Genomic DNA, 19,897 nt, shown 5'->3' with positions numbered 1-19,897 from the left:
ATGTTATTAATTCCTACTAACATTTAAAGATTATTTTTCTATTAGACTTGTTATAATCTATCATCACTTTATTATCAGCCTTGCATTGTGTTGGCTTACATTAGTTTGTGTTTTAGAAACTTTCCTGATTAACTTTTATGTAGATGTTTTTCATCCATCTGGAATATGTTTTACAATTCTAAGCGTATCACCCTGAGCTATAGAATGTCTTATTTGACCTGCATTTCTCTAAATTAATAGACATTTTAAAGTTTCAAGAGTAAAATAGAAATTAATTTTAAAATGATCACTGACTGGGCACAGTGGCTTACACCTATAATCCCAGTACTTTGAGACCAAGGTGGGTGGATTGCTTGAGCCCAAGAGTTCAAGGCTGGTCTGGGCAACGTAGTGAGACCCTGTCTCTGAAAAAAATTAAAAATTAAAATTAACCAGGTGTAGTGGCTACTGAAGAGGCTGAAGTAGAAGGATCACTTGATCCTGGGAGGTCAAGGCTACATTGAGCTGTGATTGTACCACTGTACTCCAGCCTGGGCAACAGAGCAAGATTGCCTCAAAAAGAAAAAGATCATTTACAAAACCCTTTCCAATAAGACCATTTCAGTACTTATAGGTTGTGATGCATTCTTCTTTGTATTAATCTAAGATTTTCCACAGAAAAAGTAACTACTTACCGATTGTTTATTTTAATTGCAGCTCAGTGTGATTACAGTGCAGAGAAGAAAAGCAGCCTCCCTGATGAATCTGGAAAATATTTAAAAATATTCATAGTTCACTCACAGAACTTTAGAGTTGGGAAAGCAGTTGGACTAGAAGTGTATTGAAATGGTAAAGCCTGCAAAGTATAATAGTTAAGGCTTGTGTTATTTCGCGTAAGCATTGTTGTTCTGTTTTGAGGGTTATTGGAAAACAGAGCAGTGACCACTTCCTGTAAGTAAAGAAAATATAATCCTATATTGAGCTTCAGTGGAGAATAAACCAGCTGAGAAGAACTCATTGCCTTCATCAATGTGTCTGTTTTTTAATTCCTCCTTTTTCCCTTGAAAGGACATAATAATTTTCAAACTATGCAAATTTCTCTTTCATAAGAAAGAGTTTTTAAGAAAATTCTAGAATTTAATATTTCAGTTTCCAAGATTTGAGAATTTTACATCTAATTGTTACTTCTAACTCATTTTTAAAGTTCCTAAGTATCCATTTTATTATGAACTCATAAATGTAATAAATTGTGCACTTTCTAAAATGATGCTGTCATGTATTTTAATGTATGATTGTAGTGCTTCATTTTTAACTTACGGTTTTCAGTATTTATGGAACTTGATATTTAAGAATTTGGAAGGTGTCTTTTACATGTTACTTAAAGCAATACTAATCAAATGGAGATCTTAGGTGCTAAGACTGCATGGCATTGAACTATTGAAGTCCTATTGATCTTCATAGATACATGTTCCTATTCTCTGGTTTGAACTTAGCGCACCCTGGTTTCTGTTGATTAAAGCAGAGAGGTTTGCATCTGGATAACCAATTAGGAGACTGCTGCAGTTGTCCAGATAAAAGATAATGAGTTTGAGTTGAAGGTGACATGAAAACATTCACGTGTAGATATTCAGCCATCAGTCAGAAATTTAGTAATGGTGCTAACAGTTAAGATAGTCATAGGAATCTTTTTTTATTATTATTATCATATTTTAAGTTCTAGGGTAAATGTGCAGAACATGCAGGTTTGTTACATAGGTATACCTGTGCCATAGTGGTTTGCTGCACCCATCAACCCGTTATCTACGTTAGGTATTTCTCCTAATGCTGTCCCTCCCCTACCCTTTCACCCCTCGACAGGCCCGGGTGTGTGATAGGAGTCTTCTGCGTGGAGCTGAGAATTGAAGCTGTGGAAGTGGAAGAGCTTCCCTTGGGGCCTTCCATGATGTGAATAGCAATCTCTTCAGCTTCCTCCCACACTATTCTTCCCCTCCATTTCTTATGCTCTGACTTGGATGGCCTTCTTTTACTTCTGTCAATATATAATCCTCCCTCCCAATACAGGGTCTCTCTGCATGTACTTTTTTTTTTTTTTTTTTTTTGTTGTTGTTGTTGTTGAGAGAGTCTCACTCCATCACCAGGCTGGAGTACAGAGGCATGATCTCGGCTCACTGCAACCTCTGCCTCCCAGGTTCAAGCGATTCTCCTGCCTCAGCCTCCCAAGTAGCTGGGATTACAGGCACCCGCCACCACACCCACTAATTTTTCTATTTTTAATAGAGATGGGGTTTCACCATCTTGGTGAGGCTGGTCTCGAACTTCTGACCTCAGGTGATCTGCCCGCCTCGGCCTCCCGAAGTGCTGGGATTACAGGCCTGAGCCACCGTGTCTGGCATCTGCATGGACTTTTTTATCTATACACTTTTCAGATCTCTACTCAAATATCAGTTCCTCAGAGGCCTTCCCTAGCCTCAGTAAGATCCCCTTCTTATATTGCTCTTAATAGTGCACCGTAGTTTCCCTTCATAGCACTTGTCAAAATTTGTAGTTAACTCTTTCTTTTTGGAATATTTTCTTTAATGTCATCTTCCCCCCAACAGAGTACAAGCTCTCTAAGACCACATGTACTGTCATTCATTTTATCCCTAGCACCCAATATAGTCCCTGGCACTTGGAGGGTATTCAATAACTCCTTTTTCAAAAACTGAGTTTTTAAGAACAGGACCTTAAGGAATGTCTTTATTTGTTGAATGAACTCACAAAGATGTCATTAAAGGAGACTAAATAGGAGAAATGAGAGGGTCATAACAAAGAGACTCCAACATGATAAAACACTCAAGGAAGGCACATGGTTGATAGTATCAAATGCGATGATGAGACCAAATCATACCTATATGGCAGTTAAATGGTAATCAGATGGGAGGCACATAGCTTATTTTCATTTCTTAAAGAATTTTTCATTTGATTCTTTAAATTCCTTCCCAGGTCATTCACAGACTAATTTCCATGTAGTAAGAGTTATGTTCATATTCATATTTATAGAACATAGAATTTGTTTTTTAAAAATTTTAGGGATGTTAGAATTTTATGTCTGACAAAAGTATGAGACTGTAGAAGAAAGCACTTCAGAAACTAACACTCTAGCAAATGGAATATAAGTATTATATTATTATACTTTTTCAAAAAAATCTAACTTTCCAGACACATTTTTTCAAGGTAAAATCTCTGAACATAGATACTTTCTCCAAACTTTGGCCACAGGTAACTACTCTTCACATCCTGATAACCCATCTTCTCTTGGATCTCCTTGCGTACTTAGATATTCTCCAAGAGAAGAATAGGCTGCTAATATGCAGATAATATGCCTTTCTGACCTCTGTTGAATTTGAACAGGCTTAAGCTATGTTTAGCAACAGAACTAAACTTGATGGTTTTTTTCTTTTCAGAAAAGTTTGTTAATAATTTCCAATGTAAAAATGTAGTGGAGTTTTTAACACTTCTCATACAGGTCAGTCTTCACTTATAAATGATACAAATAGTATCATTCTGTGAACTGTATTTTACTATACAGGAGAAATGAGTAGGAAAGAGAGGTAAGAAATGATATAGATCTGCAATTGAGGACAACACAGCTAGTTCATTTTATTTATTCATGTTTCTTTATTGTTTCTCCCTGAAGAAGAAAGGAGATATGATTACCTCTTCTTCCCTTTGTATACAAATATGCAAACTAGGGCAGGCAACAATCTTCTAATTTCTTCTCTGGTGTGAGAATTATAACCACCCCAAACATTGGAAAACATTAGCAACAATTCAGTCACTCATTAAGTCTGCAAATATTAAATATTTCATAGTTACACAGTCTTGCCAAACCAACTCTCAAATCAAGAAAGAGTGAAAAAACACTTTAAACATTTTACTATAAATGCTGTTCTTTAACCATAATGTCTTTTATCATTTTTTTCAAAATAAATTTGTAATGAGCTTTTTTGCAAAAATTTTTATCAAAAATAATTAAGTTTGTCTAGTTTACCTAAAACATACATACATACACATAAACAACATGTAGACAGAGAGATTGCAGTACCCTGAAGTTACAGATAAAAACCTGTCCCTTACCATCCCTTAAACCTTAGAAAAATATATGGCTTTGGGGACAATGTTAATAATATTTATATAACGAAGAAAAATATGCTTAGATAATAAAAGTCATAGGACAGAAAGGCATCTGAAAAGAAATTTTTTACAACACTGGTACCCTCTAGCTCAAGAATTCACCACAAAACACTCACATGTGCCCCACGTTCTCATAGGTGCCCCCCATGTGTGATACTTGCCTATGTGTAAGCAGACAACTTATTAGATCTCCAGAGAATAGATACGGCTTCAAACTATGTACCCTTTCTCTTTTCCCCACCCCAAGAAGATTGCGAAACATACTTTCTTAGGAAATCATGCTTCGAGGGTCACTGTAGTTAGTGATTCATTGAAATGTACATATATAATATTTTTCAGGGTTTAGGATGAGGAAAAAATGTGAATTACTATTCTATAGTTTACACTTCCATTAATGCAGCTTAAAATTATGTTAGCTTTTTTGGAGGGAAAGTTGAATCACACTGTTGGACAGATATTGAGCGTGTTATCAACTAAAATCCTAAGTCTTTTTCAAAGGTTTTGTTTCTAAGCCAGATCTTTGCCCAAATGCAGGACTAGTTATTTATCCCTATTAAATTTAATTACATTATTATAACCTGCTGAGGTCATTTTAGCTCCTAATTCTGTTACCTCATTTGATAGCTCTAAAGGTATGATAGGGGCCATGTCTGTCTTTATTTACTGCCATATTTATTGCACCACAGGCAATTTTTGATTTACAATGAATGCTAGCCACACATCAGATAAACATGCTACCCATATTTTCATTCGAACCATTGAAAAAAAGAAGAGGACCAGACAGATTGAAATATAGACAGTCTTAGAGCATACCAAGCACCAACTCCCTTAATGGATAAAACTGATCAGCACATGTCAGATGTGGTAATTCAACCCGTTTTTAATCTGGCCCATACTGCTACTTGTACACTAGCATAACAACATCAAGAAAAATCCAGCCTTCTGCCAAGCAAAAATTCATTTATGCCATACTAGTCATATTTTCCAGATGTAATCTAGTAATCCTGTCCAAAATGAAAAGTAAGTTAGCCTTCTTAGTAAATCCATGTGGCATCCTAGTAATCACAGCATGTTCCTTTTATGTTTGTTAAAACTCTTTAATTCCTTTGATAAGGCATTATGGAAGTTTTCGTTCAATGTTTTCATTCTATGGCAGCACAGTCCTTTTTTCAGTGAATGAAAAAGTTATCAGAGCATAATATAAAATATAAGGAAATCTTTAATATTTACATCTAGGAAGATTAAAAGTGAGACTAGATCTCCTTTCATTTAAACTACTCTATGGGATAAAAGAGAATAAGAGAAGTTATAAGCATATTTCTTCAAATAACTAAAACAATCCAGTGGAGAGTTTCTCTGGATTATGGTAACATGCTTATGTGTATTAATAATGTCTGTTTGTGGAGCATCTGTCATGTGCTGTGCATCATGCTAACATTTTGCATTTATTACCTCATATAGTTCGACAGCCCTTCTAGGTAGGTGTTATTTCCTTTCCAAAGATATGAGGTATAGTAAAAGTTAAATCATTTGCTCGGGGTCACATAGCTGGCAGGTGGCACAGCTGGACCAGATCTGGTCAACACCAGAATTGTACTATTGTGCAACATTGTATCTTTAGAGTTTGAGGAATTTATAATTTTGACACCTCTCCCATTTGCTGACAGTGATTCAAAAGTAACCTTTATAGGTTCTCCAAGTGTCATGGGATGTAATTCATCTGGGTCAGGAGGCTTGAACTCACTGTAAACATCTAGATGCTCTCATGTAAATGCTTCACACATTCTAGACTTCAAGTGACCCTCATCATCTTACCAGTGTCCACTCTGTCCTTGCAGTTCAAGGATCAGCGTTCTTGATTGAACATATAGATGCCAAATAGGTTTCAAAAAATTCTACTTCCACTTTTTCATTCATCAACCTTAAAACAAGTCTGAGCTGTGAGCTTTTTTTTTTTTAATACTTTAAGTTCTAGGGTACATGTGCACAATGTGCAGGTTTGTCACATATGTATACATGTGCCGTGTTGGTGTGCTGCACCCATTAACTCGTCATTTACATTAGTTATATCTCCTGATGCTATCCCTCCCCCCTCCCGAGTGAGCCTCTTTTTGTTTTAATTCCCTTTCTGACTGGCACTACCCGAAAAGCTCTTTTGGTTTTCAGATTATGTATATAGCCCTAAAAACTTGCTAGAACAAAGTATCTTCGTATCTAGTGGGATTTGGTAAATTTTCCAGACCTAGAAAAGAAATTGGCCACAAGCTAAATGTAAGTAAAGTAGTAGAAAAAAATAGATCTAAGCAAAGGAAGTTATAATAATTAGCTTAATACCTCTTTTGAAAGTTTCCAGATTTCTTCAATGAGTGATGACAATTTCACCAATTTTAATCGACCAAAAAAATGTTAAATTGTGTTTAGTTATTGTAAAGTGATATAATGCATAATTTCCTTTCAGAGTGTGATATTTTAAAGTATGGAGTTTGAAAGGTATTTACTTAGAGTACTTGAGACTAGTTGAGGCAAAGATACCATCACAAGCTTTTGATATAAAAAAGAGAAGCTCCAAGGATGGAACTGAATTAGAGCCAAAGTTGGTGGGAAAAAGGAGAAAAGCTCTCTTTGAAACTGTTGCATGGGAAGGGAAACACCAAAGAAAAAGATTTGCTTCATAAAGAAATTGTTTTACACTGGTCATAATCCTGAAGTTAGAACTATCAATCACCCCAGATTAGTGAGTAAAATAATCACATTAACCCATAATTATAAATGTAATTTGTAAAACTCGGCCATATATAAGCCAAGTAGTAGTGAGAATATCAGGACACATTGGCGATACATTAGGAATGACAATACACATTATTTTTATCTTTGCTACTTAATTCTGCATTGCTTATTCATTTGTAAAAATAACTGGATTTATTATACTTCATATCACAAAAATGCCGACTTGGAGGTTTTACGTAGCTTTAATTTAGTGTTAAGATATTAGTTCTCAACATCAAGAAACTATGTGATTTTAAGTATTTCTGTAACTAACTTTCCAAGCAGTTAGGATGTAGAGTTCAGTTATTCTTTTTATTCTTTGATAGCAGTGTTGTTTTCTTTGATTACATATACATATATTTGATCTGTAAATATGTTTGTATGTATGTGTGTTACATAAATATGCATGTGACAATTAATTCCATTCTCCCTAGAATAAGGCTGGAACTAATTGACTGTAAGCAGACTATCCTGCTCATTATCTATTAGGTTATACTCAAAGTCTTTTAACCAGTGCATTAACATGTTTTAACCAAGTTTATTGGCTTTACCAATAAATTTACCAATTCATTTAACTGAAGTTTACACGTGTAGTCCTAAATATGCTAACTACTTTGTGTGAACTTTTTTTTTTTTTGAGACCGAGTCTCACTCTGTCACCCAGGCTGGAGGGCAGTGGCACAATCTCAGCTCACTGCAACCTCCACTTCCCAGGTTCAAGCAGTTCTCTTGCCTCAGCCTCCTGAGTAGCTAGGATTACAGGCGTGTGCCACCACGCCTGGCTAATTTTTTGTAGTTTTAGTAGATACAGGGTTTCACTATATTGGTCAGGCTGGTCTCGAACTACTGACCTCGTGATCTGCCCACCTCCACCTCCCAAAGTGCTGGGATTACAGGCGTGAGCCACTGCACCCGGCCATGTGTGAACTATTTTTATATTCTGAGAGGCAGTACAGCCTACGGGTCTCAATCCCAGACAGGCTGGGATTGAATCCCAGATCTACCCCTACTGACCTTGAGCAAATTACTTAATTTCTCTGTGCCTCAGTTTCCTCATCTGTAAATTGGAGATAATAGTGCCTACTTCACGTTATAAGGATTAAACTAATTAACATAATACATACCAGTGCCTGCCACTTGATAAACCTTTGTAATTATCTACAGAAGTCAGGAGGTTCCCCCAAAGGCTATGTGGAATGACAAAATCAGCTTTTATTTCAGAAGTCATCACTATGGAGATACCATTGGCAAGGCTTCAGCCAAATGCTGGAGAGATTAATTTCAGCAAGACTTGTGTTAAGGAAACCAGTAATCCAGGCAAAAAATGAAGAGACCTGAATTATATAGCAAATGGTGGTGGGATCGAAGCAAAAAATATTAAGGCAATATTAAATGTAATACACAGGCCTTGATCACTATTTGGCTGTGAGAGTTGAAGAATTCATAAAGGACTCCCAGGTTTCAGTCTAGGAGGACATTCTCTAAAACAGGATATAGAAAGAGTTCCAAAATCTCAAGTACCTGTATACATCCAAGAGGGGATGCCCAATAAGCAATCTCTTCACACTCCAGAAAAGCTGGATTGCAGAAATACCAAACTGAGTAAGTAGTACAGGGAACAGTTGAAGTGAAGGAAGTAGATACCATTGGATTTGCCTTTATCCTCTTTTTCAATGACCAGACAATCAAAGCCTACCTCAGACTAGAACACATCATCTAATGGAGTTCTGAGCATTAAAGGGAAATCATATTGAAGATTTCAACCTTGAAGTTAATTGTGAAGTTTGTTGCAGATGGCTAATGCTTCAAAGGTAGAAACTGTTTTTTCAGTGATTTGGGTGAAAACATGAACGTGAGTCCCTGGTGTGACATTTCCCATCACAGATTGCACAGCTGCCAATGATAGGCCCTTCCTTTGGCTCCTGGGGACTTAATTTCCCTAGGGAACTATTGTGGTTATTCAACTTTAAGACCTTGTAGGAAGAATCAGTTGTTTCTCTCAGGGGTCTTACTCAGAGCAAGCAATATGGAAGTAAATAGTCACTAAGGAGAAATGAGAAGCTTTTAGCAAAATGTACGAATAATTGTTTTTTCTTTTAAACTGGCCAAATCCTTACAAAAATTATAAATTAGATTAAGATAGCTACCCTGTTTTGGATCCTAATCATTATAATCTACATGAGAATGCATAATTCACACCAGTTTTGCTGTTCCCAACATAAAGAAAAAGGTGCATTTCACTATATGCTAATTTCTGCATGTAGTGGATGTACAAAAGATTGTTTCAGGCAGGAAACAATCTTTTCAGAAATGAGAATGAGAGTGTAGGCCCAGTTCTGCCAGTACCTACTGCTGTGATCTTGGCCAAGTCTTAAGGTGTATAATGCAGATAATATTTTTTTGCCCTACTGTCCCAGAGTTCTGTGATCAAAAGAAAGCATTTAATGAAACTGCTCTTTGAAAAATTATTTTTAAAAATTATTTAAAGGTTGTATTAAAAATACAACCGTCCCATCATTCAGGAATATTTTTTCACCTCAGAAAGCTCATTAGTTAAAATATTGTAAACATCAGTGTCTTGTTCCTAATAAAAATAATAGCCTACCACTTACTAAATGCCTAATATATGCTCTCTGTAAGGTGCTCAATGGACTTGCTTTAAATAATCACAACTACTTCAATATCTAAGTTACTAAGATGTTATCCTCTTTCTGGGAAAACTGAGGCTTAAAACGGTTAAGTGACTTGGCCAATGTCATGTGCCTGGTAAACTATAGTTTAGCCTTTAAATACAGTTCTCTCTGACCCTGAAGTCTACGTTGTTTCAACGATTCTGTTTTCAGATCCAAAACTGTATTCTGGAAAGAACTCCAGGTGGGGAAGACTAAACTCAAACCGTTATTTTTCAGTCTCGCCATCAGAGTTGAGCCAGAAAGCAGCCCAGTGAATCTGTGCTCTGCACAAATTTGATATGTTCTCTACAGTTCTCATTCCTGATTTAAAGTGGAAGACAGTAAACAACTGATTCAGGACTGCTAAGTCATATATACCTTTAAATATTTAGCAAAAGCAGATTTCAAAAGACACTTAAAATGTATTGCAAAATGTACAGCATTTATTCACATACAGACAAAAAGGCACAATTCTACTAAATAGTTCAACAAAAAAATACAGCTGTCCTCAACTAGTTTTATAAATACTTTCAAAAAGGGGGTAGAAATAAATACAGGATTGGGTCATGTAATATAAAATAGTCATCTCTACATATACTTTAATTTGATTTTTAACTCTTCATGCACCTTTTTTTTTTTTTCAATTTTAGCTGAATGGACACCAAGCTAGGCACATAGTGAAAAATCCTCTGTACAAGGTTACAAATGTAATGACAAGTTTGTCCATTTCAAAATAAGATTTGTACACAACACATAAAACCCTTCATTTAGATCTTGTGTTTATAACCTAACAAATGACATTCCAGGCAACTTTACAAAAGTTTAACTAGCCTACATTTTGACATAATACATTAATCATAATCAAAGATATTTCTTGGTCAGGATGCACAAGGAAAGATAAAGCTTAAAAAAAACAAATGCAAATGGTTCCATACTAATAGAACGCAAGTGGGTGTTTGGGCTGGTTGCTGCTTATGGCCACCTCATAGAGAGTTCCCAGCATGACATGAAACTAACTCACAAAGCTATCATTATACTGTCAGAGAAACCGTGCTCTATCCATTTGCATTTCGAAGCAGGAATAAAAAGTGTGGGCTTTTTATTTTTGTGTGTTTTGTTTTTGTGTGGGTTTTTTTTAATATTTTTTGTTTTGTTTTTGTTTTGTTTTTTTTGGTTCAGCATAACTTGGAACATTTGAAAGCTTTTCAACCTAAATGTGGGGAAAAAACAGGTAAGGCATTATTTTTGCACAAAACTAGCATTCCTAATAGTGCAAATGAATCTGATACCTCTTAAAATGGTGAGAGGTCATACACTTACTAGATTAATTTAGATTTTCTTTCTATGGCTTGACAAATTATCCCTCTATAAATTCTACTCTCACCCAGAGCTGTTGCTGTAATCAAAAGATAACTGTAGATAAAGTCCAACCTTCTCCTGTATCCAGCAAAAGGTTTTTGCTCATATGCAAAAAAAATCTAATTTTTAAATTATCCTACAAGTGAATATACAACTTGGATTCATAAGAACCTTCTATTATCTGCAGCAACAAGCTGATCTGGACAGCAGTCTTTCAAAATGAGCCCCATAACTCAAAAATAGTCAGTCAATCTAAAAACCTGCATCATTCTTCCCCCTCCCCTGAATTAGCTACTAAAATGTCCTTGAAAAGTTAAGACTTGGTTTGAAAATGTCGTACATACAATGGGGATGTATCAGATCTACTATTTGATCATCTGATAAAACTTGCATAGCAAGATGGGATTCAATAAGCCTTTTTTGTTGTTGACAATCATCTGGAAGACTTGAAAGTTAACTGCAGAACTCCTCAAAGCATTATTCATTAAGTATCATAATGTCCCTGCCATATGGAAACAGATGTATAAATGAATCAGGAATCTGAATACTGGTATTAACAAACTAAGGAGAATTTAGGGGAAGTCGGGCTTGTTCCAAAGGCCCATAATTCTGTATCTCATTGCTATTTAAACGTTCCTTCCTTAAGTTTGATTCACAACCACATTGAATTCCAAAGAAAATTAACAGGACCTAAACACTATCCACTGTCTTAATACATACGCACTATGGGGAGTGCAAAAACAAAACATTGTACTCAAATTTAATGCTAAATTTATTATTGCTGATAACTTAATAGTTATTGCCATTTGCAATTAGAAAGTCCAAGTTACAAATTAGAGTTTAGAACTCTGACTACAGAAAACCTATTCAAGGGTACACTTCAGTCTCTTTCCTGTATAACCTTGGTCAATAGTAAGAGCTTATCGCAACTTATTGCCTTTCTATTGTTTTTAAAATATAACCTATTTCGCTTTTTTCTCTTTTTTTCTTTTTTCTTTTTTTTTTCTTTTTTTCTTTTTTTTTTTTTTTTCCTTTTTCTTAAGGAATCCATTCATGTTGGAAGCCCAGATTCCCTAACATATGCACTAGTGGTTGGCTCTGGGAAGTAACAGTCACCAGAGTCTGGAAGTTCTTCGCTTGAACTTGAGTAGCCACTGTACTATTGGAAGCCAGATGGCCAGGTATTGGCAATGGCCAGGGAAATCCCAAGCTGGCTCAAGAGCCAGTGGTTAGGGAAGAAGAAGGTCAAGTGGACTGGTAAAAATTCTACTTCAACTGCCCTTATTCATAGATACAACTTTCCTAACAGTCTCACTCTCCACCAGTCCCATATCCACAACCCACTCACAGGCTTCAAGCAGCAGGACCTTGCCATATTACCCTAAATCTCCATATTGCAGCAGCTCTACCCTGTCCCCTCAGCTTCTTCAATAATGACCTTTTTTAAAATTCTCTTCCCTGACTGCTATATTTACACATAAATTTCTTAGTGTTACTGAAGCTTCAGAGCTGCTGCCTATATGCTATAATGCAACAAAAATAGCCTTGAGGGCCAAATATAAATATGATTTCAAGATCTACCACAGTCCTAGAAAATAAACTTTATGGGCTGTGAATGGTACCATGAGGGTTTCTCAAGAACCATATCTGGTTCCCTATATTCAGGTAACCATGAGTTTGTGCTTTGGGAAGAATGCAGAGGGCTATAAAAATTCATGAGGCTTATTTAAGCCTTGCCTTCTTTAAAACATTTCATTTTTATTTTAGTGTTCAGTTCGGGTTCTAGTCTTAGCAGTGTCTTATGGTTACAATCTACTCTTCTGTTTCCTCAACAAGTTGCAAATAACACAAACTTCTCACAAAAATGATTTAAAAATGACTCTGGAAAAAAATTAATCTGAATTGCAAGTAAATGTGTTTGTGTAGCTCAGGATTAATGGGTTTCTGCTTCTCCCCCACATCAGAGCTCTCCTCTAGCAAACCCAATGACGAGCCCAAAGGGCTTCCGCATCATCTCTGTTGCATCAAGAAGCCAAGATGCTTCTCCTGATAATGTCTGTCCTTCTGCTGATAGTGCTGCTGGTGTGTATACATTTCTTTTCTGATGCCTCACTCTCTGAGTCACTCATTTCCACATCGGGGACATACCCGTCATTCTCATTGTCGGATTTTAATTTGCTTTTTGCCCTTTCCTTGGCTGGAACTCGGCCTAAGCCCAAATATGGGTAGTCTGAGTGCTGGTGGCAGGCCCCATCGTGGGCCTCTCCCTGCTGCTGCCGTTCCCCCTTCTTTGGAATCCGGAATCCTCCCCAGTTTTTCACTGGGCTGGCAGGTGTTGTAGGCACTTTGACTGCAGTCTGATTATAGTTTACTTTGATTAGGGAGCCATTGCACTTGGGCACTATCTCCTTCCTTGTGCCAGGTGCTGACTGCCCCACTCCAGGGGAGGTGGCAGCTCTTGTGTTGTCCAGATGCCTCTGGGACACATCTGTGGACCTGAGAGGCTTGTGACTCTGTTTAAAAGATTTGTCCTTTAAGTCTCCTTTAATGAGATCACAATGAAAACGATTGTCTCTTCTTTTCCCATGGTCTGGCATCACCACACCATTTTTCTGTTGTGCTGATATGAGACGTGCTTCTGCAAAGGTCTTTTCTAAACCCAAAAAGCTCTCTGGGACCACCATCCCCTCCCTTCTACCACACAGGTCTGGCTGCTTCAGCAGGGTTTTGCCTTCACTTCCAGGGCTATTCTGCAAAGGATCTCGCTTATGGGGCTTTTTCAGCGAATGAACCAAGGAAGTACCCATTTGTTTTCTGAAGAATGCAGAATGCCACTTCAAGTCCTCTATCTTGGGAGCATCAGGGCCAACAGAAGGACTGTTAAACAAAAGCATGTTTTCCAGTGAGGAGGAGGAGCAGGAAGAAGGCACACCTATAAACATAAAACCACAAATAAAGAAAAATTACAGCAGAAGCAAATCCAAAAGAATAAAATTCTACACCCTTAGTGTGGCCCAATTGATGTGAACTCCCCACCCAACAACACAACACTTACACCACCAAGTTTGTACAAATTTGGTTTTTATAGTGAAGAGATGACCTGCCTTGAGAATCTCCATTCAATCTGCAGACTCAATATGCCACATTTTCTAAAACAGCTGAAGCTCACATAATTTTTCATAAAACTAGACCTCCTCCAAACAAAATAACTGATCTGATTTTCAGAGCGGACTCCATGCAGAACTCATCAGGTGGCTGATGGCTGCCTCTGCTCCCTCTACCTGGTTACAGAGCAGCACCTGCGCCGCGCTCCTCCACGGTCCAGTCTTCTGCCTCCCGTACGAGACTGAGAGGACCCAAAAAGCAGGGCTCGGGGCTTGTAAGTTTCTCTATGTGTCTGTACCCTCACAGGGCTATTACGAGGACAAGTACATGTAAACATGTGAATGAATAAAGGAAATGTGTGAAATAATTCTTGACACATAGTAAGCGTTCCAAAAATGTTCATTATTATTATGTGCAAAATACATTTGTGGGATTCAACTGAATTGTCATTCAACTTGAAGTAAGTTAAATTGATGTTTTTCGTATTTTTTGATGCAAATCACAGTGACTAAATTCCACAGCATGACCTAGTAAGAGTTCACATTTCACGAAATAATATTAACCCTCATCATTTGATAATGTACTCTGACATTTCCTATTATACTTTACTTGTTTTTAATACTGGTCATGACCCACTGAATTCATCTCACAACCCACTAATGAGTTGTTACCCCTAGCAGGTGAATTCATAACACATTAGTGTTTGTCATAAAGACCATGATTCTACAACAGCCTCAAGATCATCTAGAAAGAGCAGTTCTCATGTTTTCTGTCTCCCATAAGATATGAGCCACCAAGAAAACAAGGTTCAGCCCCCAGGTTATGAGACAGGAGGCCATATGAGAACCTAGTGCTCACCAGACACAGACACTGCAAGCAAATGAAACATAGCTAGCGACTCAGAACACAGAGCTGTCATGACCACAGGAGGTGTTTTACAACCTGCTGGTTTGGAAATGCTGCTTTCTCAAGAATCAATCATTAGAATCAACCTTCACATCACACTGCATATATTTCTTTTACTCAATCACCTGCCACAGGAAAAGAGAATGGTAAGAAGAGGCTAACATTTTCTGAACTCTGATTTCTATCTCCTTGACTGTAATCCATGTCTCTAAAGAGCCTCCAACTCATGACCCTCCCACCCCCCATAAGCACTGTTGCCACTGAGGACACTCTCAGCAAATGACCCTACCCACTCTCAGAATCACAGAGTTTAAACCATGGACCCTAAATGACATATAAATCATGACCATCTGCTCTACTTCAGGCAGGAGACAGCCTTTAGGCATGAATAAGAACACGACTGAAGCCTAGGACTGGAAAAAGAAAAAAAGCACCCTAAAGGGTTTCAACTGCATTACTCAACAGAATCCTACAGGAAGATAAATGTTTTCAACTGATCATACCTATGGTTCTTACATCAGAATGAAAGGAAGATTTGTTTTCCTTTTCTGAAATAGTAGGACTTCTGAATGCAGATCTACATTACAGCTCTGTTACCACAAAATAACTCCCAGACTTATTAAGAATATCATTCGCTCACCCAGTAAAAACCTCAGCCATGAAATGCAAAAACCTGCCTGCAATATCCATGAGAAATAACTCAAATGAAACCAGATGAAAATGCTCTTTACGGCTTATTTTTACAGGGAATCACTCATTACATAATGACCTAAGAGTTGCAGAAAGCCCTCCAATGGCACAACTCCACAGGCACAACTTGTATTAGTGATCCCAGCTCAGCATTTGCTGCTGTAGGCTCGGTGATCTGCACCAGACAGTCTTCCAAGGCAGTTAAACAGATCTCATTTATTTGTATTCAGGTAGGAATCATGAAGAGAGAGCTCACCTTAGGGAATCTGAATCGACCTACTTTTACATATGACACCCTACTTAGAAAATTTATTTTTAAAATCTTAACAATTAAACTGCAAGTTCCAGCTAATGATATACACTTGATTCACCTGGAAAATACTTAATCTTGGGAAGAAAATATCTAGGATATCAACAAGTTATTGCATTCAAACTATGTAACACTTCAAGAACATTATTTAAACCTCCCTAAACCTTTTTTTATTTCTTCAGATGACCGAGCTCCCTCTAGTCGCACATAATTGGTTAGATAAACCAGAATTTGGATTTCAACACAACAGGTTATAACAACTTCTTTGTTCTCTGTGCACCATAATAATCTAGATGGAGTGACAAAAAGCCACAAATGCACAAAAACAAGAGTGAATCAACTATGATTGCACAACGCAAGCACCAAGAATGGTGCAGCTAGAACTTTAAAGGGCAGTCCAAGGCAGGAGAGAGGCTGACTATCTTCCAATGAAGTCCAGTCTAAGACCTACCTGTTCCATGGGTCCCTAATTCTGCCTGATCCACACTCAGCAGCTCTGCTTCTCTGAAATCCTTATACTACCTACTTTTGGGGGCTTATGATCACAGAATATAGGGCTCAAATGCACTTAAGGGGTCTTGATTCTAAAACAAACTTTAAGATCAACGGAATCTCAGAGAGGTTAAACAACCTGCCCAACTTGATCTTTGCCCTTGATCTCCCAAGTAACTGATGTGTTGTCCAGAGTAGAGGAAGTATATACCCTAGTTTTCTTTTTCTGTTTGCCTAGCCCAGGGCAATATAAAATAGAAGACACTAAATAAATATTTGGTGCTCAATCTCAGAAATAGTCAACAATCCATCTACACAAAAAAAATCTACTGTGAACATTATCTAAAAATGGACTGTGTCTTAAGTACAGTCTTAACATATATTGACCATATTTACCATGTTACAGATAGAGCCCAAGGCTGAATATAAACCTGTTAGGTATCCCCATGATGTGTTTACCAAGTACTGTGTAATATATAAGTCACTGTTTCATTTTAGTCTCTCAATTCCAAGAGGTAGCTTGCGATATCTCCATTTTGCACATGAAGAAATTAGGGAGACTCAAAAGACTTTCATGTGTTTGCTCAGTAAGCAGAGAACACAGGATTCCACCCATATTTATAGAGGGCAAATTCATAGCTTTTTCCCTTAAACATGATGCCTCAAATTAAAGACTTCCTTTAAATATGAACGTCTATGCTTCTTAAATTCTTCTATAAGAAAATTAAGAAATGATTATTTCTTCCTCAACAGTGTTAAAGCTTACAAACCCCTGCCCTATACTTTGACCTACCAGGGCTTAATGCATACCTGAAACTCTTTCTTGCTCCAAAAGCTTAGTGTAAAGATTGAATATCTGTTCCTGGACTTTGCACACAGACCGTTTAATCTTTTCCCTGCGGGTCACCATGTAAGTGAGGTTCCGAACCTAGAATGTAGAGAATAAAGATTCTAAGTAAGCAATACAGTATAACAGTACTTTGGTGCTTTTTAAATTTCTTTACCTAAGAGAAATTACTCCTACTAGGGCCTTGACAGATACTTGAAATCAATAGGTACTTTAAACATTTTATCCAATCTCTGATCTCCTTTTGGGCAGATAAGAAGGATTCCACATATAGCCCTCAACATAGGCAGAAGCAACATCGAAGAGGGTTAGGGACCCACAGGAGTGGGAGGGACACCTAGAGAACTCCTACAAAAGTCCTGCCTCCTCCATCACACCTAACCCATCCCGGCACAGAGGCCATTGGTGTCCAAGTCAAAACTTGCAACCTCTTGCCAGTCGACTTTGCTAATTATTGCATCAATATCTTCTATTACTTGGATGGCCAATGGCTTTAAAGCAGTTCAGAAGCCACTTCTGCACTTTATCAACTATCTTCTGAGGCTGAACTGGGTAAACATGGGGCCAAGGGTCATCAAAGTGGAGCCCCCTGCACCAGGCCCACTGGAAGACCAAATGGTTACCAAGAATCCTAGTAAATGTCTTTGTCAACTGCACACTGAACTCACTGAAAGGCCTGGAGTTAGCAGGTAGCTTATGTGTTGCTATGAGGTGTGCGAATGCCTAGGAAATTTCCAGCTTTGCCAATGATTTGCTGGTTAGACATCTCCAGTCCAGTTCTCTGCATCATCACTTGAAAAACTGGTATTGCCCTCTCCCGATTCGCTTGTAACTGAAAAGACCCAGTGCTAAGAGTTGGCTCTACTTCCTATCTGATGTGTGACTGCTTTGGATCACATAACCCTAACCTATGCTCAGTAATCAACATTTAGATTTGTTCCCCACCTGTCATCACTCAATACACAAAACTTAAAGAATTAGTCTCTAAACTCCCCTAATCCTTCAGTCCTAAAATCTTCTATTGGTCAACCTGATTAGATTACACGGACCTGCAAACACAGATGTCAGACACAGCACACCAAATACACAATTAAACCCTTCTTCAGGAATATGTGGACAAGACCTCCTAAGTAATCTCAGTGGCAGGAGTGGTAGCATCTTTATCTGACCACATCTTTCCCATTAGCTCCTACAGGCATGCCTTCACTTTCCTAAAAATATCCCATTATGAGCAAACTCTTCCCCTGACACCTTTATAATTTTTTCCCCATAAACTCAATAAAGTAGTATCACCCTACTTTAAGTGGAAAAAGTCCAAAGGTCACCAACCTTTTCTTTTGGCAGTGAGGACAGCAACAAGCATCAACAAGCCTTGTGAAGACACAAAAGATTTTGCACTCTGGTGTAGAGCGTAAGTGTAGACTAAACCCTAATAATTCCAGCTGTGCTGAAGGCAGTCTCATTTGCAAGAGGACATGAAGCATTAAGAGAGACAGAACACAGGCTTTCACATTTGCATTATGGTAATATCTCCTGGCCTAAACAGGAAAATGCCAAGTCAGGCTTCTCCTGCCCCTAACAAATTCACTTTACGGATCTTCCCATCTTTTTTTCTCTAACAATCCCTTATGTCACTAACATTTCCTGTCTTATTTTAAATTTAAAGAATTGAGAATAAAAACACTCTCCCTGTCTCATAGTAAATATTACATGGATGTCAATCAGCCTAGTTAAGGTAGTTTCTTCCCTTCTCTGACAGCTGCACACCCTCAATCCAAGAAGCAGGTGTCCTTTATAGAAATTCTCACCAACTTGGGAATGGAAGTGGCTAACATCCTCCTCTCTTCGATATTGTTCCACCCAGGGGAAATTAAGAGTGAAGCTCAAGAACGAGGGGCCAGACCTAGATCCATAGCAGATTCAAAACTTCTAGGAAACAGAACCATTTTTACATTAACAAGGAATCTGACTCCTGGAAATAAAAAATGGAAACAAATCCTGACATCTTAGGAGCAGACAGGTTGCTCTCATATTCAAATCAGACATGTAATAGAAATACTTACATCTCTCTTACTTGAAATTATCCTTAAAAATGGAAAACGGGGAAGCCAGGGAATTTGAACTTTGTATATTATTCAAATTTAATTTTGGTAGCTTTGACCACACCATGGCTGCTAAATAGAAAAATCCCACTGCTATTCCTCATGATCTCTGATGGGAAATATCTAAATGTAAACCCAAAAAGCAAAGGGCATGGTTTTCAATCGGAACAAATCAGCCCTGACCAACTCCACTTTATAGTAGTGAGGACTCTAAACCTGACTTCCCTTATGCATAAAGTTCCCTATAGGACAACGCTCAGCAACCTCCACCTGCAGAGCTGGACTGATGCTCTCCCATCCTCAAAACACATCCAGCTTGTCCCTTCTTCCTGCACCCGTTCCACCAAGCTCCCTCCCCTGCTTTATCTTCTCCCAACTGCCTGCAAGGAGGTATCTTAAAAAACATTTAAACCATCTCCAGGTGCACTCTCACACCACCTTAAACCTGATCATCCCTTTCCCCTAAAGCAGTGTTCCCAAACAGAAACATGGGGTA

General features: G+C 37.8%; 2 protein-coding genes across 18 annotated transcripts in view; one reads left to right on the top strand and one right to left on the bottom strand.

The window, feature by feature from the left end:
- The window catches only part of SCLT1 (sodium channel and clathrin linker 1), a 220,299-nt gene extending 208,304 nt beyond the window's left edge, over positions 1 to 11,995 (top strand). For 3 of the 5 annotated variants that reach the window (NM_144643.4, XM_017007716.3, XM_017007719.2), the window contains exon 21: positions 697 to 1,243. In NM_144643.4, the coding sequence (NP_653244.2) occupies positions 697 to 759 (63 nt within the window). In that variant the 3' untranslated portion in view covers positions 760 to 1,243. Of the gene's footprint in view, positions 1 to 696; positions 1,244 to 8,599 lie in introns of those variants that run through there. The other 2 variants (XM_047449590.1, XM_017007717.3) reach the window with 1 other exon arrangement.
- The window catches only part of JADE1 (jade family PHD finger 1), a 65,525-nt gene continuing 55,639 nt past the window's right edge, over positions 10,012 to 19,897 (bottom strand). For 10 of the 13 annotated variants that reach the window (NM_199320.4, NM_001287437.2, XM_024454219.2 and 7 more), the window contains exons 10-11: positions 17,263 to 17,380; positions 10,012 to 13,881 (exon numbers count right to left, since the gene is read on the bottom strand). In NM_199320.4, coding sequence (NP_955352.1) covers positions 12,974 to 13,881; positions 17,263 to 17,380 — 1,026 coding nt within the window. In that variant the 3' untranslated portion in view covers positions 10,012 to 12,973. The remainder of the gene's footprint in view (positions 13,882 to 17,262; positions 17,381 to 19,897) is intronic. The other 3 variants (XM_017008626.3, XM_017008627.2, XM_024454221.2) reach the window with 1 other exon arrangement.

This window comes from Homo sapiens, chromosome 4 (assembly GCF_000001405.40).
Source record: "Homo sapiens chromosome 4, GRCh38.p14 Primary Assembly".
Taxonomy (NCBI): Eukaryota; Metazoa; Chordata; class Mammalia; order Primates; family Hominidae; genus Homo; species Homo sapiens.
This window is presented reverse-complemented; position numbering and strand designations above follow the sequence as displayed.